The 26,586-nt window shown below is 40.4% G+C and overlaps 1 protein-coding gene across 22 annotated transcripts in view; it reads left to right on the top strand.

Annotated features, from left to right (window-relative positions):
* SEL1L2 (SEL1L2 adaptor subunit of SYVN1 ubiquitin ligase) overlaps positions 1-26,586 on the top strand; it is a 146,087-nt gene that overhangs the window by 31,418 nt on the left and 88,083 nt on the right. For 21 of the 22 annotated variants that reach the window (NR_073207.2, NR_073206.2, XR_937162.2 and 18 more), the window contains exon 2: positions 7,785-7,840. Coding sequence is in view for 13 of the 22 variants with exons in the window: in NM_001271539.2 (NP_001258468.1) it covers positions 7,785-7,840 (56 nt within the window). In the remaining 9 variants the exon portion in view is untranslated. Of the gene's footprint in view, positions 1-576; positions 662-7,784; positions 7,841-26,586 lie in introns of those variants that run through there. The other variant, XM_024452003.2, reaches the window with a different exon arrangement.

The raw sequence follows: 26,586 nt of genomic DNA, 5'->3' as shown, positions 1-26,586 counted from the left end.
TGGGTGACAGAGCAAAAGTCCATCTCAAGGAAAAAAATATATATATTTAGGCATATAGAAGGTGGACTGCCGTTTGTATTCCTACTCTAGGGTGTGCAAATATTAGGGTCAGGCCTCTGGTAACAAGGGTGAAGTTAGGGGAAAATGGTTTTTTTGCTTTTTAATTGTTATTCTCATTTTTATTTTTATTTTTTATTTTTGATATGGAGTCTCACTCTGTTTCCCAGGCTGGAGTACAGCGGTTCAATCTCAGCTCACTGCAGCCTCTACCTCCCGGGTCCAAGCAATTCTCCTGCCTCAGCCCCCCGAATAGCTGGGACTACAAGCATATGCCACTACGCCTGCCTAATTTTTGTATTTTTAGTAGAGACGGGTTTCACCATGTTGGCCAGGCTGGTCTCGAACTCCTGACCTCAGGTGATCTGCCCACCTCGGCCTCCCAAAGTGCTGGGATTCCAGGCGTGAGCCACCGCACCTGGCCTATTGTTACTCTGATTTTTTTTTTTTTTTTTTTTTTTTTTTTTGCTGCTCCAGATTGTTTAGATTGGGAAACTGCCAAATATTTCAAGGAAATGAGAAAGAATATAAGAGAGAATGAGAAGTCAAGATATTGGCTAGCAAGGGTTGATGAACAGAACAATAGTCCGTGGAAGTTAAGTAGGTGAGTGAACTGAATGGAGTTAGACAACACCAGGGACAAAAAGGAGGTGAGTCTACACTAGAGAAATAAATGGTGAAGCCAGGAGTTAAAGCATTTTGAAACTCTCATGAGAAATTAGATCTGGTAAGAACTATAATAGAGAGTTTTTTTTTATATTTTCTTCTTCTTCTTCCTCTTCTTTTTTTTTTTGAGATGGAGTCTTGCTCTGCTGCCTAGGCTGGAGTGCAGTGGCGTGATCTTGGCTCACTGGAACTCTGCCTCCAGGGTTCAAGCAATTCTCCCGCCTCAGCCTCCCAAGTAGCTGGGATTATAGGTGCATGCCACCATGCCCAGCTAATTTTTGTATATTTTTTAGCAGAGATGGGATTTCACCATGTTGGCCAGGTGGGTCTTGAGCTTCTGACCTTGTGATCTGCCTGCCTCAGGCTCCCAAAGTGCTGGGATTACAGGCATGAGCCATTGTGCCTGGTCGATATTTTATTCTTCTAATCCTTTTCTCAATGCTAGGACTATATTCTGTATGATTTATTTTGTCATTAGTTATTGGTCTACCTTAGCTTCAGAGAATTGAGATTTTTGAATCAAGAAGTCCTAATAGGCTGAAAACACAGAATCATTTCAGTTGTCAATTGCTGCATTAACAACCCAAAACTTAGTGAGTTCAAACAACAATGATTTATTACTCCTCATAATCTCATAATTCTGTGTGTTGATTGGGTGGCTTTTCACTGATCTCATCTGGACTCACTCTCATGCAGTTTCATGCAGCTGGTGGTCAGCAGAGACAGCTGGGATGGCTGGGCCTCTCTGTCCACATGGTCTATTATTCCTTGCTTCTTCAGGACATGGTGGTCTCACAGCATTGCCCCAGGAAGGTAAAGGAGGCTGCAAGGCCTAAGGACTAGCCTTGGAATTTGAAGTGTCATCTGCCACATTTCAGTTGGTCAAAGAAAGTCAAAACGGCAGCCCAGACATAAGGAGTGGGAAAAAATAATCTCCATCTCCTGATGGGAGGACTGGGCAAAGTCACACTGCAAAGCGATGTGAATACAAGGAGTTGTGATTCCCTGGGGGCCATTGTTGTAACAATCTACAATAGTCCACCCTTAGGCCTCAACGATTCATGTCTCTTTCATGAATCTCATCCTCCCAAAATTGCCCAGGTCTCACTTTATCATATCATCAAGCTCGGAATCCATCATCTCATGGTCTGTATGAAGTCAAGATGTCGATGAAGTTCCTTAGGTATAGTTCTTTAATTCAGGCACCTGTAAACTAAAAAGACAAGTTATTCCCCTATGCCTTCACATACCCAATGTACACTGGAAAGACAGCAAAACTATATTAGACACTGCTGTCCCAAAAGGAGAGATATACTAGTCACTGGTCCATGGCAATTTGGAAATCTAGCCAGGTGCATGTTGGAAGATTCCTCTACTACAGAGACAGGCAATGTTTATTAATTAGGGCCCAGTTCTACCCTCCGGAAGTGGTTCCTTAATATATTGTTCTATTTGGCTCTTGGCAATACCCTCTGGGCTTGGCTCTGCCTTCTGAGTCGTCCTTCCTTTTACATAAGAAATGGCCCATGTTTGTGACTGAGTAGCTTTCTCATGCTGTCTCCTATTCCTAGAAAGATGGAGGCCCAGAGGCCTCTTCTCATTTTGAACTGTCTCAATTTCTTTTAACCCAAGCTAGTGGCTTTTGTTCAACACAACACTTTTAAAAACCTTATAAGTCTTCTATGAATCCGATGGGCTTCCCCTCCATGCCCCAAAAACCACATGGACAATTCTTTTGGAGGCAGTAGGCTGTAGTGCTAGCTTCTTCCCTACCACTTCAAAATTCTTCTATCTCAGTGGAAGGGGAGGAGTAAATCAAAGCTGTAGTGTGCATAGGATGGTGTGTTTCATGTTATGTAAATTGATATGTCCCATAAAATGTTCTGCATAAATCAGATTTTTGTTTTTTAAAAAAATGGAGTTGATGTCATTACAGAAATTTGCCACTTAAAATCAACCTATTGTGAATCCTTTGGTAAGGTTTGAAGTGGCAATGGTGTAGAAAGAAGAGCTCTGGAGTCAGACCTGCATTTGAATCCCACTCTGCCCTGTGACCTTGGACAACTGACTTATTCTCACTTGGTGAGAACACAGATATTCTGTGCTTGCTATTTTGGTGGGTTGTTATGGAGATTGAAGATAAAGTATCTAAAGAATCTAGCATATAATAAATTACAGTTAGAGCTATAATTCTAGAGCTGAATGAAACTTTAGTCCCCTTCCAAGGCTAACTCTACATCAGACATTTTTGATGGTGTACGCTATTATATATATTTATTTATTCATGATGATAATGAACTACTGATCTATTATGTGCATTATGAAACATATCCCTAAAATAGAGATAATGAAGGAGATTTTTTAAAGCCTCAGGCAAGTAGATCTAATATTTTCTTCCTGTACCCGGTAGATTGTGGTTTTTTACAGGGAGTGCTTGAATTTGTGGGAATTTCAGCATCCTGTAGGGGAAGTGATAAAACAGTGGTGCAGATCTCTAGCAATCACCAATGTTTCTCAAGTGGTACGAAACAAGCTACTCTAAAGTATTATGGGACACATTATTTGTAACAGAATGTTTTCCCTAGTAGCCAATGGAAGCTTCTTTTTCTTTAGGTAAAAAATCTAAAAGCCTGAAATTTAGAAAATAAACACCCTTGTCGTAAGTTTCAAAAGTGTTTTGGCTTGCACATCTTCTGCTGGAAATAATGAACAATTGCTGTTGTCTTCATGTTATGTTTTAAGCTACTGAATAGTTAATTCCTTCAGTTATATGCTTATGCTTCCTTCCATTTCCCTAATTCTTTTATCTACACTTATCCTACTTTCGATGACTGCTTTTAGCCCTGTAATTTTCATGTTACTCTTTGACCACTGACAGTTTGATTTTCTGGACCAGTGTATAATATAAACTTCACTCCATTTAATATCTATAATTTTCTCCTCTCACTCAAATACACATGACAGTTTGTACTTCTGTGTCTGTACGTTCTGTACATACTAACTCTAATTTTATTCTGTGTACTTTGGGGAATATAATAATGGGAATCTACCAAATCACATTGCTTTTTCTAGTTTACTTTTTCTAGTTGTGATAATGGAGTTTAAAAACTGCTAGACATTTTATGTGACTATAATATCAGTCACAATGTCTGATTTCTAATACACAAATATAATTAGGCTAAGGAATTTTCTTTGAAAGATACTATAATTGAGAGATGTCACATTACAGGCAAAGCATTAATAAGTGCTAGTAACATGAATTCTCTAATTATGCTTTACTTGCCATAGTCCCTTTTAAACTACTAATGCATTAGGTTGGTGCAAAAGTAATTGTGGTTTTGGGCTGTGAATTTAAAATAATTATAACTAGGCTCAAACACATCTTTGTTAATCAAAATAAGAACCATTGCAATCAACACATTTTTGCCAAGGAGAAATAAGTTTGTTTATTCCCATAGTGTAAAAATCCATGCTTCAGGATTCGACAAACTCTTGGAAAGCATTTTCTGAATCTTGCTGGTTGTAGAGGCATTTTCCCTGCAAAAAGTTGTCAAGATGTTTGAAGAAGTGGTAGTCGGTTGGCGACAGGTCAGGTGAATATGGCGGATGAGACAAAACTTCAAAGCCTAATTCGTTTGACTTTTGAAGCTTTGGTTGTACGACGAGCGGTCAGGCCTTGTCCTGGAGAAGAATTGGGCCCTTTCTGTTGACCAATGCTGGCTCAGGCGTTGCAGTTTTCGGTGCATCTCTTCAATTTGCTGAGCATACTTCTCAGATGTCATGGTTTCACTGGGATTCAGAAAGCTGTAGTGGATGAGACCGGCAGCAGACCACCAAACAGTGACCATGACCATTTTTGGGTGCAAGTTTGGCTTTGGGAAGTGCTTTGGAGCTTCTTCCTGGTCCAACCACTGAGCTGGTCATCACTGGTTGTCATATAAAATCCCCTTTTCGTTGCCCATCACAATCCAATCGAGAAATGTTCGTTGTTAAGAAAAGAGGACACATTAAAATGATGATTTTTCAAATCTTCGTTCAGCTCATGAGGCACCCACTTATCAAGCTTTTTCATCTTTCCAATTTGCTTCAAATGCCGAACAACCATAGAATGGTCGACGTTAAGTTCTTTGGCAACTTCCCATGTAGTTTTAACAGGATCAGCTTTAATGACTGCTCTCAACTGGTCGTTGTCAATTTCCGATGGCCGCCCACTATGCTCCTCATCTTCAAGGCTCTTGTCTTCTTTGCAAAACTTTTTTTTTTTTTTTTTGAGACAGAGTCTCGCTCTGTCGCCCAGGCTGGAGTGCAGTGGGTCGATCTCAGCTCACTGCAAGCTCTGCCTCCTGGGTAGCTCCCAAGTAGCTGGGACTACAGGCGCCTGCCACCACACCCGGCTAACTTTTTTTTTTTTTGTATTTTTAGTAGAGATGGGCTTTCAGTGTGTTAGCCAGGATGGTCTCGATCTCCTGACCTCGTGATCTGACCACCTCGGCCTCCCAAAGTGCTGGGATTACAGGCGTGAGCCACCGCGCCCAGACCTCCTATGCAGAACTTCTTGAACCACCACTGCACTGTGCGTTCGTTAGCAGTTCCTGGGCCAAATGTGTTGTTGATGTGGCAGGTTGTCTTTGCTGCTTTACGACCCATTTTGAACTCAAATAAGAAAATCGCTCAAGTTTGCTTTTTGTCTAACATCATTCCATAGTCTAAAATAAACATAAAATAAACAGCAAGTAATAAGCAAAAAACATGAGGTGAGAAATGCCCATTAAAATGATGTGTAACATAACCACATTTATTTAAGTAGCGTATTCCAATATCAAACGGCAAATTCCAACAATGCAAAAACTGCAAGTACTTTTGCACTCACATGTAATATCCTCAAGGCATCTTAAATCCTTTAAAGAAGTAGGTTCCATATAATAATAATAATTTTATATACCTAACACTTATTAAAAACTGTGTATTAAGTACTGTGCTAAATATATAAACGATCTCATTTAATTATCATACCAATTAATGAAATAGTTACAAAATCAAGACTAGAATATAGGCCTGTTTGACTTAAAGCCAGATGGTAGACCATGAGGCTACATTGCCTCTGACGTTGAGTATTCATGGTCCCAATATAATCACTTGACAAACTTGGGATAAAGCTTTATTTATAATAATATTTAATAAAACTTATTCATATCTTGAACCTAAGGAACAATCCTAATGTATATAATAGTATCAGATATGTATCGTCTTTAAAAGAATTTGGTATGCCTTAGTAATGCCTTGCTTACCAGGCAGTTTTTGAATATTTATTTATTTAAGACAGGGTCTCGCTCTGTCACCCAGGCTTGAGTACAGTGGCGCAATTTCTGCTCACTGCAGCCTTGATTTCCCGGGCTCAATGATCCTCCCACCTAAGCCTCCTAAGTAGCTTGGATTTCAGGTGCATGCCACCATAGCTGGCTAATTTTTGCATTTTTTGTAGAGACAGGGTCTCACTATGTTGCCCAGGCTCGTCTCAAAACTCCTGGGCTCAAGGGAGCCGGCCACCTTGTCCTTCCAAAGTGTTGGGTTTACAGGTGTGAGCTGCCATACCCAGCCTAATTTTTATTTAGAATTTGCCAGTTATTTCTCTAATTTGACAGAGGACTAAATATGAATCAATCTGGGACCAGTTCCTATAAGGTCTAGATTACAAAGTAAACACAACAGATGTATAATTGTGAGGCTGCTGCCAAGTACTAAAGTTCACTGGTAAGTGAAATAATAAAACATCAAATTAATAAATACAATGGGCTGGGCGCAGCAGCTCACGCCTGTAATCCCAGCACTTTGGGAGGCTGAGGCAGGCAGATCACCTGAGGTCAGGAGTTCAAGACCAGCCTGGCTAACATGGCAAAAACACCACCTCCACTGAAAATAGAAAAATTAGCTGGGGGCAGTGGTGCATGTCTGTAACCCCAGCTACTTGGGAGGCTGAGGCATGAGAACTGCTTGAACACGGAGGCAGAGGTTATAGGGAGCCAATATCGTGCCACTACATCCAGCTTGGGTGACAGAGTGAGACTCTGTGTCCAAAAAAAAAAAAGTAGAAATAAATTAATTAATTAATAAATACTATGTCAGAAATAACATTAGAAAATTTATGACCTGTTCTTAAAAGCTTTTGACTTTTTGGAAATACAAAATTTTGACTATTTCATATTGGTTTGTGGTCAAATTCTTCAGCCTGTGAAATGTGAATGTATCACATATTTGCATTTTTTTTACTTCCCAAAACATATGATCATTTTTACAATGCATCAGATTTGTTTGTTTACAGCAATTGAAAATTTGTCAATCTTAGTAATGTAGTAAAGTTGAAACATCATGATGTGTTATCCTGTCATCTCACGTTTTCCGACTTGTTTCTCTAAGAAAGTGAAGAAATTTCAAGCACTGTGCAAAAATAAATATGCCAATGATTATGCATGTATTCTATATGATATATATATAGTCTTTATAAAAAAAAGTATTAAAATTGGTTCATTAAAAATTCATTGAAAGTTATTTTCTCAAATTTCAAAGCCTGGTATAATTATCAGTCTACATTTCTCAGATGTTTGTATCATTCAATTAATTTTCAGTATCTCTCTGACATATGGATGAGTCTATAAAAATATAAAATGTTATATTTCCTCTTCTATGTTTTAATAGCTTCTATTAATAGATGGCACTTATTTATATAGATACATTTAATTAAATACATTTCTAGCTCAGAAAGTTTTCCACTATTGTAATTAGCTCTATGATTTATAGAACTCTTTCATGTTATTAACTCAATTTCAGAATGCTTGATTAAAGTATATAGATTGTCTCTGGTGTCAAGTTCTAGCTTTACAAATTATCAGTGAAGGAATTATTTTTAACACATTATTAGGAACTCTAAATTATAAATTATTGTCAACAATTATTCTTAGAGTTCTAAAAGTTTTCTAGAAGTTTTTTTAACAATAAATTGTATTTAGTGAAATTTTAAAAAGAAAATGCTTTTAAATTTTATAAAAAAATTTTGTGTATTGCAGCTATCAAAGCAGAGGAACATAATAAAAGACAAAAGGAAAGAAATGTCACCACACAGGTAAATATTTTGCTAAATCTTTACATTTTTTAATAGAAAATTTAGGCTATAGGCACTAGTTTTTTCAGGATACTCAGAATTATTAACTATTGTCTCTTTTTTTTTTAATTCTCAATCAATATTATTCTTTCATTCATTCAACAAACATTTGCTTAGTCAACCGTGAGAGGATAAGACTGTCTTCAGGCCTGAGTCTTCTAAGTTGTGGACTGTCTGAGGTCCTAAATATTAGATTGGTGCAAAAGTAATTGTGGTTTTTGCCATTACTGTCAATGGTAAAAACTGCAATTACTTTTGCAAAATATTAAGACACAAAGAGCAGAGACCCACCTGGCTTATAAAGTCACAGATGCTTATTAAACGTTATCAATCTTATGATGTCTTTGCACATTTTGGAAGTAGGGGATTCAAATTTTCAGTTTATTCTCAACCCAGCAATGATTTACTCCTGTAAATATGTCAAGTAAAGAAGTGAATTTCCATCTCACACTGAATGAAACCAAAGCATTACAATGGCTTGCTTATTAGGCTCTATGGTCTTGCCCTCGTGGTTTTTTTTCTCTGATATCAGCTCCTACTACTGTCTTCTTGATGTTATTGCATATACACTGGACTCCATGCTGTTCCTCAAAAACCCCAGGCATGTGCCCCCCTTTCGTGTTCTCTCTGCTTGGAATACCTTTGCACCCAGATGTCCATAGGGCTCCCTTCCTTCACCTTCATCTTTTCAGAAGGTTCTTCCCTGGACCTTCTCTAAATTTACAATCACTCTCTAAAATTGCAAATCCTGTCAAACACCTTCTTCTATACCCCTTCCCTGCTGTATTTTTCTTCTCAAAATTATCACCATGCAACATACAGTATTTTATTATATTTGTTGTCACTCTCCCTCCACTAAAGTACAAACTCCATGAGAGCAAGGGTTTTGTTTGTGGTGTTCATTGCTGTTATCCCCAGCCAATAGAACAGTGCCTGGTACATAGCAGACACTCAATAAATGTTTATTGAATTAATGAGTAAATCTTAAATCTAAATGGAGGAAGTAAACTGAGAAATATTAATACAAATTAAAAACCCCTCTGTACATTGCAACCTTTTCTAAACCCCTCTGAATATAGCTCCTCTCTTATCACTATAACTACCACATCCCATAATTAGCAGTGGGATTGTTATTAGCAGAAATAGATGTGAGCTTCACCTAAATCTCAGTTTGTCTTCAGGCAAGTGGAGAATGAAGGAACATCCATTTCTTCAGGTCATCTTGCTTTCTCTTGTGGGCTCTTGGCATCTTGCAAGTCAGTGCCTGCTGAATAACACCTAAAATGGCCTTTGGAATCCTCTTACTGCTTGAGAACAAGGATGCTGCCCAGACCCATAAGCATCTACCCAATGCCCAGCATTAGAAGATGAGACCTCCAGAGTAAAGATGGGAATAGGCCCCTTCCAACCTTGTAAAGCCTGGGACAAAAGAAAACTAAGAACTATTCTAAGATATTTCAGAATATTAGAAAGTAAAACAAAACAAAACACAATACAAAACAAAACACTACCTTTGTGTCAAAGATTGGGGTAAATGTTCCAGGGTAGCCTGTTTGTAGATTGTATATCTCACTCAATTCCATTGGCCCAAGCACAGATGGCAGAAGTGAAAAGCCCAAAGTCTGCAAACACCTCTACTGCAAAGTGCCCATATATGCATGCTATCCTACAACCAGAATAGAGTATCCTCAGCTCACTGAACTTACCATAGTGTTACATGACTCCTTGGCAATGAGCAGGATACTATTTGGCTGAAAGCACCCTCTCTCCATCTCTACCCCCAATGTAGGCTTGGCAAATTCTGGTTATCTTCCATAATAATTACCATTTACATTATAATTTTAAAAACACACTCACCTAAGTGGAGCTGCTCTTTCCATAGTTTTTCTCTCTTTCTGGCTTTACGACTCTACAACTTCCAAAAAAAAAAGTCATCTACTCCTCCATTCCCCGACAAAAACTTTTTGAAAACACACATACACACATGAAAAAAATGTTTAAAGATAATTTGTCTTGTGTTAAGGATCTAATTTTTTCAGGAGTTCTGTGTGCTATTTCCTTCCACATTAAAGAATGATCCTGATTACAGAGGTAATAAACCCCCAGGTATGTAATGTACCATCGGGAAGTAACTGAGGCCCCCTAAGGGAGCAACTCAAGTATATGGCTGAGGGACCATTTTTGTTGTAGGACTTTCTCCTTAGTTCAGCTAAAAACAGGGTCCTTGTCACACGACCATGAAAAATTAGGCTTGCAGACACTTTGAAGGGCGAGAAGGGCAGGGTTTATTGGGTGAAAAGGAAAAAAGGTGGGGAAACAGGGACTTTCAGCAAAGCGAGAGAGTGTACTTCCTGCCAGTGGGCTCACAAATTAAATCCAGGTTACCAACCCCGGAATAGGAGAATCCAGACTCTTCCTCCCTGCAAATGGCAGGAACTTCCCAAGGATTCACCTCATTCACCCAGTATGCAGCCCAGTTGGAGTTTCTCCAGGGACCCTTTTACACCTGGCTGTCTCATTCCCCCCTCTGCAGAAGTACATCTAACTGCTGTTAAAATAAGGATAAGGATAAGGACGAAGACCGATCTTAACTGCTTCCTGCTGACAGGGGGCGCTGTTCTGGGGGAATGGCATTGGAGCTCCCTCAGAGGTCTAGCTAGCTAAGGGTACCCGGCAGAAAGGGCCATCCTCCAAAGCTCCAGTTGCATGACCATTTGGAGTTTGATAGCCTGAAGGTGAGAAGAGACAAACCAGGTTATTAGAAAACACGTATCAAAACGAGAAAAAAGGGATGGGTAAGGACACATCAAAAATCCCAAGGCCTTTTACCAGTTTGCACAGGGAGAGGGAGGCCAAAAGCCCGACTGTAAAAAAAACTTTTACCCTTTTGCCAGCATATCAAGCTTCTGGGTTCCCTTCCCCTGAGCCCAATCCTAAGCCAACCAGTCTAAGGTTTGGGAAATTAACTTTTCCCAGTTTGGAGGATGCATCTGACAGGAGTGTCCTGAGTACAGAGACAAAATTACCTATCAGTGAAGAGAGGAAAGAGGAGGAAAAAAGAAGGCTTTCACTGCAAGCCTCCCAGGTTTAAGCGATTCTCCCGCCTCAGCTTCCAGAGTAGTTGGGACTACAGGCACACGCCACCACACCCAGCTAATTTTTATATGTTTAATAGAGATGGGGTCTCACTATGTTGGCCAGGATGGTCTTGATCTTTTGACCTCGTGATCTGCCCGCCTTGGCCTCCCAAAGTGCTGGGATTACAGGCGTCCAGGCACCGCGCCCAGCCAAGGAGGCTTTTTTAAAAAAGGAGTCCCAGGGGTTCAGGATGCATTCAAAAGGGGTATAGATTGAAGATGAATGGCTACCCATCTAGAAAGACGGGAGCAGGCATCCCTGGTTCCCTTCTCTTCCTAGCAATACCTGGGGTATGTGAAGGAGAGAAGGAAGAGTGTCCTCTTTCCCTCTTCTGTCCTTGAATCATCAAGTCCCAGTGAACTTAGCAGGTGCCATCCATAGGTGCCAAAGTAGCTTGCACCCATGAAGCAGGGAGGGCCTAGATAATAGGAATTAGCTGCTCTCACCTATGTCTCTATCCCACCTACTATCAGTAGCCTTGGAGTTCCCTAGACCTCATTTATGCCATGGATACTAGCATGACCCTTATCCATGAAATGGGAGGCTTGGCTTTATTGGCAGGAATTAGCCCTGCTTACCTGCACTGTCTTTTAACCTCTGTTGTTGTCTGCCTCTGGATTCCTTAGATCCAGTTTTCTTTCCTAGGGCTTTGACCTGAAGCTTGGAATTGAGTTTGGGAAAAAATGTGTCTTGGTAGGGGTACATGGACTCCTTATCAGAAGCCAAATGCTGAGGTGAAGGTGTGGAATTGAATCCTCCTCCAACAAGGGAGAGAAAAGCATGTCTTGTGACATGCCCAAATAACTGGTGGCTATAGTTATGCTTGCTAAGATTTGGGTGCATGGTGCTTGGCTTTGGTTAGCTCCCTTGGTCTTCCTTTCCCAGAAAGGAAACCTCTGCGTGATGAGTATCCTGTTTATTTCCATCACCTGGCAGGATTTGCAGGATAATTGCTCAGAACTAGAATATTGATCCAGATTTTTACATTACCCATCCCTTTTGTTCTTTCTGAGCTGCAGCTGGAGATTGCTTGGTTGGTTGATTGATTGGTTGGTTCACAGGAACAAGCAGGGGTAGTCTAAAAATATAAACAAAAAAAACAACTAATGAGTTTAGAATTTAATGACAAATGTATGATGAGTTTTGAAATATAATTTCTCTCTCCAGTCCTCATTTTTGTTAAAAAACAATCATGATAGGACTGAGTTGTTTGCAAAACAGATTATTTGCATAAAGTACAGCAAGAATCACTATTTCTACATAGGCTAGATTTTAGTCTTTTTTTTTTTTTTTTTTTTTTGAGACAGAGTCTTGCTCTGTGACCCAGGCTGGAGTGCAGTGGCATGATCTCGGCTCACTGCAACCTCCACCTCCCGGATTCAAGAGATTCTCCTGCCTCAGCCTCCCCAGGCTGGGACTGTAGGTGCGTGACACCATGCCCAGCTAATTTTTTGTATTTTTAGTAGAGACGGGGTTTCACTGTGTTTCGATCTCCTGACCTCGTGATCCATCTGCCTTGGCCTCCCAAAGTGCTGGGATTACAGGAGTGAGCAAATACACTGTATTTTCTTTCTAATCAGTATTTTCTTTCTTTCTTTCTTTTTTTTTTTTTTTTTTTTTTTGAGACGGAGTCTCGCTCTGTCGCCCAGGCTGGAGTGCAGTGGCGCTATCTCGGCTCACTGCAAGCTCCGCCTCCCAGATTCACGCCATTCTCCTGCCTCAGCCTCCCGAGTAGCTGGGACTATAGGCGCCCGCCACCACACCCGGCTAATTTTTTTGTATTTTTAGTAGAGATGGGGTTTCACCGTGTTAGCCAGGATGGTCTCGATCTCCTGACCTTGTGATCCGCACGCCTCGGCCTCCCAAAGTGCTGAGATTACAGGTGTGAGCCACCGCGCCCGGCCTCTAATCAGTATTTTCTTTCTAATCACCTAACTTCAGGGTCGTACTTCTCCAAATGTTTCCTTTCCCTTCATCTTAACTGAAACCTAGTTGTCTCCTGATGACTTCTTCCCCTGTAACCCTTTCAAGCATTTTCTAACACAGTCCACTTATATTGGTTCAGGATAGGGTGGTAGGTATCCTTCTCCCTCCCTATTGCCACATTCTCATTGGGAAAGTAGTAAGAGATGAAGATAGAAACGTAGCTCGTGGTCTTTCTCTCCCAGGAGCAGAGAGCTCCTGTCTACATTGGAGATTTCAGTATTCATGAATCGTAGCAGCTCAGTTTCATTACTTACATCTTCTTGCTTCCAATAGTCCCATCCTCCTTAACACTCCCATGGTCATAATCTAAACTGTGCCTGTTCCAGATGAAAATTTCAGGTATCCAAGTCTCTGATGGCCACTGATATCTTTCCAGGTTGTTCCATAAATGCTTCAATCCCACCAGGACCTCAAATCGATTTGCCCTTTTTACTGCTCATTGTTCCCCTCACATGCTCATTTCCCTTATTACTTGGCTGAAAGTTGATACCTCATCACCCCAGGACCACAGGATCTTTTCCAAAGCCTGTGGGAACAAAGCTGTTTCAGAAATTAGGCTTTAAAAAATTGTGGTCAAATATACATAACATAAAATTTAGCATTTTAACAATTTTTAAATGTACAGCTCAGTAGTGCTAATTACATTCACACTGTTGTGCTACTAATCTCCAGGACTCTCCATCTTGTAAAACCGAAACTCTATATCCATTAAAAAAAAACAAAAACCTCTCCATTCCCCTCTCACCCCAGCCCCTGGCAATCAACATTCTACTTTCTGTCTCCCTGAATTTGACTACTTTAGGTACCTCATCTAAGTGTTCATACAGTGTTTTTCTTTTAATAGTTGACTTATTTCACTTGGCATAATCTCCTCAAAATCTATACATGTGTCAGAATTTCCTTCCTTTTTAAAGCTGAAATATGTAATCATAGTTCATTCATTCATTCATTAATGAATGCTGATTGCTTACACATTTTGGCTATTGCAAATAATGCTGCTATTAACATGGGCATACAAATACCTCTTCAGTACCCTGTTTCAATTCTTTTGGGCACATACTCAAAAGTGGCAATACTGGATTATAAAGTAATTCCATTTTTAATTTGTTGTCTGATCATCATTTGTTTTCCACAGTGGCTGCACCATTTTACATGCCCACCAATAGTCCACAAGTGTTCTAATGTCTCCAGCACTTGTTCTTTTTTGTTTGTTTGGTTTTTTTTGTTGTTTGTTTTTTGTTTTTTGTTTTGAGACAGAGTCTCACTCTGTTGCCCAGGCTGGAGTGCAGTGGCACGAGCTTGGCTTACTGCAAGCTCGGCCTCCTGGGTTCATGCCATTCTCCTGCCTCAGCCTCCCGATAGCTGGGACTACAGGCACCTGCCACCACGCCTGGCTAATTTTTTGTATTTTTAGTAGAGATGGGGTTTCACAGTGTTAGCCAGGACGGTCTTGATCTCCTGACCTCGTGATCCGCCTGCCTCCGCCTCCCAAGGTGCTGGGATTACAGGCGTGAGCCACCGCGCCCGGCCTGTTGTTTTGTTTTTATAGTAGCCATTTGAATAGGGTGTAAGGTGGTGGCTCATTGAGGTTTTCATTTTTGTTTTCCTAATGATTGGTGATGCAGAGCAGATTTCCATGGGCTTGATGTCCATTTGCATATCCTCTTTGGAAAAATGTCTATTCAATTCATTTGCTCATTTTTTAATTGAGTTTATTATTTGGTGAGTTGTAGAAGTTTTAAAATATATTCTGGATATTAACTTCTTATCTAATTTGCAAATATTTTCTCCCAGTCTGTGGGTTGTCTTTTCACTCTGTGGATAGTATCGTTTCATACACAGGAGTTTTAAATTTTGATGTAATCTAATTTATCAATTTTTATTTTTGTTGCCTGGGCTTTTGGTGTTATACGAAAACTGACCCAATAGTTCCATAGATAGTTTTTTGGATAAACATAGAAATTGACCCTTCTGGTCTTAAAGCTTGAAACTTATATTTGTTTTATCTGAGTTCTGTTCATTTCTTCTCTGCTATATAAACCCTCGGTTTCAGTTGGTCAGGGAGACGGATTTGAGACTGATCCTCATTAAAGCCTTCTTCCTTGGCAATACTAGTTGTCTCAATCACTGGTTTTCTGTGCAGTGGCTTTCTGTGTGGCATGCAGTAGGGCCTAGACCAAATCCCTGATGTTTCAGTAACAATAGCCAAGAAATCATTACCAAATCCAATGTCATGAAAATTTTCTCCTATGTTTTCTTCTAAGTATTTTATAGTTTTGTGTCTTGTATTTAGGTCTTTGATACATTTTGAGTTAACTTTTGTATATGAAATAAGGTAAGGTCCAATTTCATCCTTTTGCACATGGCTATCCAGTTTTCCCAGCACATTTTGTTGAAAAGACTGTCTTTCTCCACTGAATGGTCTTGGCACTCTTTAATATCATTTGATCATATATGAGAAGCTTTATTTCTGGGCTTTCTATTCTATTCCATTGGTCTATATGTCTATCTTTGTGCCGCACTCTTTTGACTATTGTAATTTTGTAATAGGTGTTGATATTGAGAAATTTGAGACCTCCAACTTTAGTCTTCTTTTTCAAGATTGTTTTGGATATTCAGAGTCCCTTGAGATTTCATTTGAATTTTAGAAAAAATATCTCTATTTCTGAAAAAAAAAAGCCATTGGGATTTTTATAGGGATTGCATTAAATCTATAGATCGCATTGGATAGTATTGACATCTTAGAAATATTAAGACTTCCAATCTATGAACACAAGGTGTGTTTCTGTCACAGGATCCTTGGAGTGTCACTTTTCCAGCTGGAAGCCTCTGTGGCTGGTGGCACCTTTGCCCAAGTTTTGCTCAGACCTGCTGTGCTCATTCTGGCCACTTGGCCTGGCAGGCTGCACTTGGCTCATGCTACCAGCCTGGACCCCACAACTGCCAAGGGCGAGCCAAGCATGGAGTGGTGAAGGGTGCATGAGTGAGCACGGGGTCCAGTCACTGTGCACAGCCAGGCACACCAGCTGCTGTGGCAGAGTGGGCAGCTACAGGCACTGGCATAGGCAACAGCTTCATGCAAACCTGTGGCTGGATCAGATGCACTGCAAAGTGGCTTTTGTTGTGGGCACCTGCGTCTGGATGAAGGGAATACAGTGGTGCCCAGAAGCTTGGAAATGCCAGAAACCACAGTGCCCCAAAGAGGGTGTCACAGCCCTGGCTCAGGGAGTCCCTAGGTCTGGGCTCCTAAAAGGGCTACAGCTCTTCTCTTCTTCTCATTGCCTGCAGTGTGGGGGGCATGTTTTAGCCCTTTTTGTGTTACAGCTCTTTCAATTCCACCATTCAGCGGGTCCCAAGTTCTTGTCCTGCATCCAGGAAGAATGAGATACGCAGACAATTGGAGGGTGAGCAAGGTGAAGAGGTGCTTCATTGAGCGACAGTACAGCTTTCAGGAGACCCAAAGTGGGTAGCTCCTTTCCGCAGGCAGGTGGTCCTGATGAACACAGCTCTTACTGGAGATGAGATTCAGAGTGGGTAGCTCCCATCTGCAGGCAGGTCATCCCATCATCTCTGTAGCCCTCAGTGGAGAGGAGATATGGAATGGGTAGCTCCTACCTGCAGGCAGGTCTTCTTGATGTCTGCCGGAGTCTAGCTGAGTCCGGGGGTTTTTATGGGCTCAGAAGAGGGGAAGTGCATGCTGATTGGTCCATGGGTGGCCATGGGTCGGCCTAAAAAAAGCACCATAAGTTCTCACTCCCAGCTACAGACTCCACCCGGAATGGATCCTGGCCCCCAGGCTTCAGGTCCTTCCTGGCTTGAAGGTGGGGTTTCAGTGGGGACCTGCCCCTTTCCACCCAGGAGCCTGTCTGCCTCCTGCTGCCATCTACATGTCATCCATGGTCCCCAGGCTGTTCATGTGGAGTGGCACCTGCAGGCCTGCATTGAGCCATCCTCAGTACCCCCTCGGCCTCCCTCCCATGCTCGTCAGTGCCCAAAGTCCAGAGGGGCTGAGGCAGCAGGGAGCTGGCATGTCAGCACCACCCTAAGTGCACACACACCAGCTGGGTTGCAACAGTGCCCAGGCTCCACCTCAGTTTTGCTCCAAAATCACAGTACCAGGTGCTGGGAGAGGCCAGGCAGTGGGAGCAGGCACTTCCAAGCCTGCGGGATGGGAGGGTTTCTCGCCCCAAGAGCACAGGGATGCCTGGGTCTGCAGCCGCAGCTGGGCGGCTACAGCTGTGCCCAGGAAGGTGGGGCTCCCACCTGGCCAACTCGGAATGGGTCATGGCTCCCTCCTGTTCCCAGCTTCCACTGGCTCTGCGGAGCACACAGCCCTAAGCGTGCTTCCCCTGCTGCAGCTGGCATTTCTGCAGTGGCTGCTCCAGGTGGGCCACCACCATCATCATTTCCATTTGTTAGTGTCTTCTTTAATTTATTTCAGCAAGTTTTATAGTTTTTTTAATACAAGTCTTTTGTCTTCTTGACTAAGTTTCTTTATAAGTACTTTATTCTTTTTTATGCTATTTTAAATGGAATTGTTTCCTCAATTTCCTTATTGGCTTCTTCATTTGTAGTATATAGAAATACAACTATTTTGTATTGATTTTGTATTCTGCAACTTTTGTTTAAACTTTGTTTATATGTAGCAGTTTTTTTGTGTAGAATCTCTAGGGATTTCTACATATGAGATTATATCTTCTGTGAACAGATAATTTTACTTCTTCTTTTCCAATTTGGATAACTTTTTTTTTATAACTTTTCCCTAGATAAATTTATTTCCTAATTGCTGTGGCTAGGACTTTCAGTACTATGTTGAATGAAAGCAGTTAACAGTGGGTATCCTTGCTTTGTTCCTATCTCAGAGGAAAAGCTTTTGGTCTTTAACTGTTGAGTATGATATTAACTTTAACCATTGAGTATGATATTAACCATGGAGTATGTAACCCTTCATATATGGTCTTTATTTATTATGTTGAGGTAATTTCCTTCTATTCTTTGTTTGTTGAATGCTTTTTATCACAAAAGCATGTCAAATTTTGTCAAATTCTTTTTCTACATCAATTTAGATAATCATGTGCTTTTCTCCTCTTTCATTTTGTTAATGTGACATATTACATAATTTCCATGTGTTGAACCATCCTTGCATATCAGAAAAAAATCCCACTTGGTCATGGTAAATAATTTTTTAATATGCTGCTGAATTCAGTTTGCTAATATTTTGAAGATTTTTCCATCAGTATTTATCAGAGATATTGGTCTATAGTTTTCTTTCCTGGTAGTGTCCTTGTCTAGCTTTGGTATTGGGGTAATGCTGACCTCATAGAATAAGTTTGAAAGTGTTCCCTCCTCTGCAATTTTTTGGAAGAGTGTGAGGCAGAATTCAAAGTCTTAAAAAACTTTTAGAAATGTAAATATATATATATATATGTATATATTAAAATGTACATAGTGTGTAATAATGTAAAATAATGTCAAATGTAAAAGAGAGAGAGAAAGGGAGAGAGAAACATACACACACCCCTCACATATTATAGAATACCCCAAGTAGGGATTCAGGAAATACATTGTTTTCATTAATAGTTATGCAGAAAAACGTAAGAATATCACACTAAATGGGATAAAGAATAGAATTAACCTAACATAAGGTCAGGTCAAGTTTTCACACCAACTGATTTTGAGCACCAAACTAATGAAAAAGCTTTCAGTGTTCAGATCTTTTTTGGATTTGGGAATTGCAGCTAACATTGCAGGGTGCTGTGAAATCACTTCCTCATATAGATCTTCCATTTAGTTATTCCCCTTGCACTCCATTTCATTTATTGGTAAAACCTTAACCCTGATGAAATGTAGTTCTCCATCTACTCAATTCCTCCTTCTGGGTGGCTGAACATGGCTGGGAAAAGAGAATCAGGCAACCAGTCTCATTTTAATTTCATGACCACAGACTAAGGAGGCCTTCAGTGTTTCCCAGCAAACCTGAACATCTCCCTAGTCAAATTTATTATTCCACATCTCTAAGATCACTGTTTCATATCTTCTCCCTTCTTACCAAAATTCCAACACATCTCAGCTGATGACCTTCCTGGGTTTTGTTTGTTCTCCAATTTCAGAAATCACCATCATCATGCATTTAGCAAAACGCTTTGTATTTTTCACACTGAAAAAAGGAAACAGTTTGAAGAGCAATTCTATATCCACCCATCATCAACTCTATCAACCTACCAGCAGCTGTAACCTGCACTGCCTCAACCCCAGACACAAACTACTTCAGGCACATGTTTACTGGGATGTGTAAAATGGATCTGAGACTTGACATGTTGACTACTGAACTCTTGATTTTTCTGAACTCCAAACCTGTTCCTTTCCTGACATCTCCTAGGCCAGTAAATGGCTCCTTCATCCACCAGATGCTTAGAACAAAAATCTTAAGCTCACCCTCTGCTTCTTTCTCTCATACACAATATCCCAGTTATCTTGGTCTTTCAAATATCCGGAATCCAATCCCTTTTAACTACTCCACCAGCTCACCCATCTGGACTCTGTGGTAGCCAACTCTCTGATCTCCTGCATTTTTGCTCTATTGCAGCCTATTCACCTCACGGTATGTATTGCATTACACTTAAGACAAAATCTAAACTCTTCATCAAGTCCCATGGGGCTTTACATGATTGGCATTTGCTGTTTCTCTGAGCTCTGACCATACTCCCCATTACTCACCCTATTCCAGTCACGTTGGCCTCCATGCTATCTCTGGAGTACCCAAGTCTGTCTACCTCAGGGCCTTTGTACTGATAGTAATAGAAGACAGACAAATTCCTAGGCAGACAGGGACAGGTCCCTGGTGAGACCCAACCTTCAAGCCAAAGAGAGTTTAAAGCCTGAAAACCGAGCTGCCATTTCTGGATGGAGTCCACACCTGGAATGAGAAGTTCTACCCCCATCTTACTCTCTCTCTCTCTTAATTGGTTCCTTCAGGATGATGCCTTTTAACCAACTGAGTGGTGCTTTTTGCAAGCCCACCCACGGACCAATCAGCATGCACACCCCCATTCTAAGTCCATAAAAATTGGTGAATTTTTTAAATCACCAATCTAAAATAGCACATCCCTCATTTTCTAACTCCTCTCCCAGACTACTGGGTCTTCATCTGCTTTCTTGTTGCATGTAATCATGTGTCTACAAACTTGCTCATTACTTAACTCCCCATTTGACTCCCCCAAAGGAAACTGAACTCTTTACTTTTTTGTATAGTTCTCAGAGATACAAATATCTCTTGATTAGTCACTACAATTTAATAAGTGCTTGCTAAATATTTGTGAATGAATGAATGTCATTTAGCAATCCTTGTATCAAGGAATGAACAGAAACTATCAGTAGCTCTAGTAAAATTAAGAGAAAAGAAGTGCTGAAAGTAATGAAAAAAAAAAAAAAACCCAGAGCTCTTTTGATAATCCATGTATTCCCTGTACCATGAAAAGTTGACATGGCTATATGTTTAACTATAATTTTCTGCTCCTTGCATGTAAATACAGAATATAAATACAGACTCCAGTAAGTATCAGTTGTTAATGTTCTCTGAATTTCAGAAAGCATTAGCAGTTAATATAAATCTTATGTTAGCACTGTATTATTAATATCACTCATGCCACTTTTTTCCTTTTTATTTGCTGCTTTACCATTTCCCTGTATTTCACAATTTACCCTTAGGAAGCTGTCTACTATTCTTATTTGGTGATATTAGAAGGTGGATATGCAAATACACAATAAAATAATAAGCAATGGCTTTGCCAAGAGGAAGAAATATTTTTACTGATAATTTGCTGAAGTAACTGAATGAGTTACTTCTTCTCTACAAGGGATAATTATTCTTTTCACTTAGGGGTGGTTATTACATCTAACATATTTGCTTTGTTTTAAAAAATCTTAGATGTGTTAGGAAAATGTATCCTGAGATTGTTTTATATTCTTAATTGAAAAGCCTAGGAAAAAAATAAAAGACATCAAGTCCATTAACAAAAACAGCTTTGCTTCAATGTAAACATCTCATAAACTCTTATTTTAAGGGAGGAAAAACTACTAAAACAGTTAATTTTAAAGTTTAAAATTGCCAGCCCCCATTTTTTTCAAACATACATGCATTTATTTAAGACCTAGAAAGCTAATAATCTGACATATTTTCAATTTCTGATGAGAAACCATAATTAAAACATCTGCTTCTATGTGAGTCTTTGCTATATGTACACATATCTTCACTGTATTATGACTGATGTTAAATTTTTGTATTATTTAATGTTGGACTTCAATTTCACTCTCATGTACTAATAACCTTCTTCCACTATTACCTAGGGCAGGGGTTCTTAAACTTAAGGATGCATCATAATCACCTGGAGGACTTGTTAAATCACAGATTGCTGGACTTCACTCCCAGAGTTTCTGGTTCTGTAGACCTCAGGTGGAGCAGATAATTTGCACGTCTAACAGATTTCAGGGACCATACTTTAAGAACCAATGACCTAGGAAAACCTAGTTTTCTTATAGAAAAACTCATTTTCTTTGTTTTTCACTTGCTCTTGACTTTCTTCACTAGTGTCTGGGGCACTAGTGTTCATACTCTTTAGAAATATAGTGGTTTAAACATAGTATATGGAATCTGCATCTATACATAGTGGGAAAAGTAGAAATTCATTTCTCCCTTTTGTGAAACCAATGGCAGCAGCCTGTGTTCTCTGCCACATTATATCTCGATAGCATCTCATTCATTTACCTAAACAAAGACCACTGGTGAGAAGGTGACCAGCTAGTCTTGGTTTGCTACTTTTATTGTCCTCACTGATGCCTTCTATAAGCTCTTACTTTTCATTTCCTCTTTTTCCCAAGAGCTTTATCAGCAGAATTTAATGTATTACACAGTGCCAAGGAACAGTGACTATTTTGGGGGATATGAACCAGGAAAGAAAAAAGGGACATAGATTGTTAAGGAAAACAAGAAATGTCTTTGATTGTTGAGCCCTAGGAAAAGTAAGTGACTGGCAGGCAAAGAATTCTCACCTTCCAGTTCTTTTACTTCCCACCTATCTATCATTTGTGAGGGATGATGCTCACTTCCCATTCCATATCAAATATGACTCGCTCTTTACTCTTAGACAAATACATTTAATGTTTCATATATAGGCACCCAATTTGAAGGTATTACCACATATACAGGTCTGCTTGTTAGGGGGTTGGGGGAAGACTTTGATTCCCTCCAAAAATCTCATCTGTCCCCAGTCTTCTTCATCCCTGTAAATGTAATCTCCTATCTGTAAATGGAATCTCCTATCACTCAGCTGGTCTCGCTCCAAAACAAGAAGTTATCTTTGACTTTGTCCTTTCTCTTACCCCTGTATTCAGTCCATCTCCATTTTTATTTGCACCACTTCTGTAACTGTGCCACTCATCACTTGAAAGACAAAAACTCAGGAAAAGAGCTTTGATGAAAGGAAAGTTAGCTTTATTCAAGAAGCCAGAAACCCGGGGAAGGCAGTGAATTAGCATTCAAAGACCACCGTTACAAATTGTCCCTCTAGATCAGGGATTTTTAAGAGTAATGAGGGGAAGTGATATCAAAACATTCTTGTGAAATGTGCACAGTCTCAGGCAGGCAGTTACTCATTGCTTTCTAGGTCAATGCCGGTGACCTTCTGCAGGGGCCATCAACCTGTTCTTACGAGGCCGGTCAGCTCATTCCCAGAGTTGTTGGTCGTGTCTTTTATTTCTGTTGAAGGTCCTGTTTTCTCAAGGCTGTTTTAGTGAATAATCTCCACACTCAAGCAAAACAATAATTATATTCAAGCAAGCAAGCTAGCTTTTCTCTAACACGGAGTCAGTACTGTTAAACTTCTAAAACATACCCTAAGTCTGCCCATATAATTTATCTCCATTGCTTCTGCACTCAGCTGAGTCACATCATCCTTCGCCTAGTTGACTGCAATAGTTTCCAAACTGTTCTTCCTGCTCCCACTCTTTTTCTTTTTGAGATGGAGTCTCGCTCTGTCACCCAGGCTGGAGTGCAGTGGTGAGATCTTGGCTCAGTGCAACCTCCGCCTCCCGGGTTCAAGCAATTCTCCTGCCTCAGCCTCCCAAGTAGCTGGGATTACAGGTGCCTGCCACCAGGGTTTTGCTATGTTGGCCAGGCTGGTCTTGAACTCCTAACCTCAGGTGATTCGCCCATTTTGGCCTCCCAAAGTGCTGGGATTACAGGCATGAGCCACCACGCCCAGCCCCTGCTCCCACTCATGATGCTGTATAATCTGTTCCTCACATGTCAGCCAGAATAGTCTTTTGTTCTAAAACATCAATCAGAGCTTGTCTCCTAGGATCGCAATATCTTCCTCTTGTCCTTCAGTAAAATGCCACCTCCTTACCATGTCCCTGTATGATATCACCCCCCTACTTCTCTCTGTGTCTTTCTCTTTGATAATTTTTTCCTTGGCTCACACTCCTTCAGCCACTTGGGAGTTATTTCCATTCCTGGAACATACAAGTTTGTTCCCACTTTAGGGCATTCGTACTTACTGTCCTTTCTGCCCGGAATGCTCTGCCTTCATAACTTTGCAGAACTGCTTTTTTGTCATTAAATTATTGGCTCCAAAGTCACCTCTTCTGTAAGGCTTTTCTTGGACACCCAATCAAAATTATGCACCAACCCCTCTTCACCCCATATTTGACTTTTTACATTTTCTTGCTTTATTCTCTTCATAGCATGTATGGATATCTGATACTAACTTGTTCATTTATTTGTTTACTGGTTGCTGTATTTCTTACAGACAAATGGAAGCTCCATATGATCAGAAAATGCTTCTGTCTTATGTGTCACTATATCTTCAATTCCTAGTGAATGCCTAGCATAAATGTATTGAATGAGTGAATCAGTGCTTTTTGTATGACTTTTAAAGAATAGGGGTTTTGGCCAGGCGCGGTGGCTTACGCCTGTATTCCCAGCACTTTGGGAGGCCGAGGCAGGTGGATCACCTGAGGCCAGGAGTTTGGGACCAGCCTGGCCAACATGGCGAAACCCCATCTCTACTAAAAACACAAAAATTAGCTGGGCATGGTGGTGTGTGCCTGTAATCCCAGCTACTTGGGAGGCTGAGGCATGAGAATTGCTTGAACTTGGGAGGTGGAGGTTACAGTGAGCTGAGACCATGCCATTGCTCTCCAGCCTGGGCAACAAGAACAAAACTCTGTCTCAAAAAAAAAAAAAAAAAAGAATAAGGGTGTTTCATTCCATGACTATTTTAGACCTGTTGCCGCTCAAAAAACTATTTGTGGAGGCTATTAAAATAGTCCCATTAGCATCAGTCATGTTGCTGCTATTGAAATTCTATTAAAGAATAAGTATGGGATTTGGAGGCTGAAATATTTAGCATCAAATACAGCCTAGGCAGCCACAGGGGCCTAGGATATGCTAAAATTGCTGTTCAGTGTCTTTGAAAGAAATTAGTTCAGAAAATGTATGACATATAAGTATTTTCTACTAGTAAAACATTTTTAAGATATTCTGCTTAAGAGATTAAAAAACACTATATTTTGGCCAGGCGTGGTGGCTCACGCCTGTAATCCCAGCGTTTTGGGAGGCCAAGGTGAGTGGATCACAAAGTCAGGGGTTCAAGACCAGCCCAGCCAACATGGTGAAACCCCATCTCTACTAAAGATACAAAAAATTAGCCGGGCATGGTAGCACACACCTGTAATCCCAGATACTCAGGAGGCTGAGGCAGGAGAATCACTTGAACCCAGGAGGTGGAGGTTGCAGTGAGCTGAGATTGCGCCATTGCACTCCAGCCCAGGTGACAGGGCGAGACTCCATCTCAGAAAAAAAAAAAAAAAAAAACAAAACAAGCAAACAAACCAAAAAGAAAAAACCCACTATATTTCAATAAAACAAATGATGTTTACTGATTTCCAAGACTCAGAACACCTGCATTTACTGACAGAGCAAATTAAATAGCCAGAGGTCCCAGATTCTAGTATGTTAGAATCTGAAACAGAAAAACAGAAAAATGTATTTAAACAGAAAACATATATAGTTAATATAGTAATAACAGTTAATATTTATTGACTGCTTGCAGTGTCCAAAGCTCTTCACATGTATTAACTCGTTTGATCCTCAAAACATCCCAATGAGATAGGCAATTTATTACCCCTATTTTATAGAGGGGTAAAGTAAGTCACAGAGAGGTTAATTTGCTCACAGTTAGACACAGCTAATAAATGGTAAACAGAAAATACGATGTGAGGAATGTCAATCAAATTGTTATAATCTATAACATTTATTTTGGGGTTTGGCAATTGGAATGGATGATTGTGAATAAGATATGTTTATATGTTAACATGTACTCAAAGTTTCTTGTGTTTAAAAAGTTAAATTGTGTGTTGTTTTGAGAATAAAACTAATTTTCATCCAAACAAAACAATGTAAAAACTCTTAAGTCAAAGTCTAGCCTTAGAAGACTGACAGACTCTTAAACTAGAAGCTATTAAAAAGGTTTTCTGGACCAGGCGCAGTGGCTTACGCCTGTAATCCCAGCACTTTGGGAGGCCGAGGTGGGCAGATCACAAGGTCAGGGGTTCGAGATGAGCCTGACCAACATGGTGAAACCCCATCTCTACTAAAAATACAAAAATTAGCCAGGTGTGGTGGTGCGCACCTGTAATCCCAGCTACTCAGGAAGCTGAGGCAAGAGAATCGCTTGAACCCAGGAGGTGGAGGTTGCAGTGAGCTGAAATCGCACCACTGCTCTCCAGCCTGGGCAACAGAGCAAAACTCCCTCTCAAAAAAAAAAAAAAAGAAAAGAAAAAAGAAAAAACGGTTTTCTGCCTCCCAGCACTGTTTTTGTTTGTGGGTTTGTTTGTTTTTGCCTTCAAGCATAGTACCATAGGACTGGGTCCTACTTTGGAAGTGTCTCTAGGAATAAAAAGCAGACATTAGCCACAAATAAATTACAATCAAATGTGTAGCAAGATAAATTCAAACTTTCTTTCCTCAAAGACTTCTGTCCTTTTTAGTTTCTCCTGTGAAACACGTTCCTTCCTTTAAGGAAACAAGAGGTTTCCCCAAAATAAAGAAACTCACATATTCATTAAACTTCCCTTGATTCAAGGCAGCCTATTTTACATGAGAAATATACCCAAAGGTTTACAAAGTGTCTATAAATAATTGAGTAGATAAAACATGTAATATGTGATGTACTAGGAGGTCAGCTTTAGAGAATGCAGAACAGTGAGCTACTGTTGCAGAATTTTGCTCCTTAGTTCAGCTAAAACCCAGGTTCTTGTCACACGACCAGGAAAATTTAGGCACATGGACACATTGAAGGGTGAGTAGAGCAGGGTTTTATTGGGCCAAAAGGAAAAAATAAACTCAGCAAAGCGAGATGGAGTTCCTGCTAGCCAGCCCCCACCACCTCCTAGATTGTTTCCTGGGTCACCACACCAGCTGAAGAGAGCAGGCTCCTAGACTTTGTAAGGCACGAATTCCTCCTGGCTCCACCCACTTCCCCCAGTGCGCATGTCGGGCTCCAGTCGCTCATCTGCACAAAAGC

The sequence above is a fragment of the Homo sapiens genome, chromosome 20, assembly GCF_000001405.40.
Source record: "Homo sapiens chromosome 20, GRCh38.p14 Primary Assembly".
Taxonomy (NCBI): Eukaryota; Metazoa; Chordata; class Mammalia; order Primates; family Hominidae; genus Homo; species Homo sapiens.
Note: the sequence above shows the minus strand (reverse complement) of the source record. Positions and strands in the feature narration are given on the sequence as shown.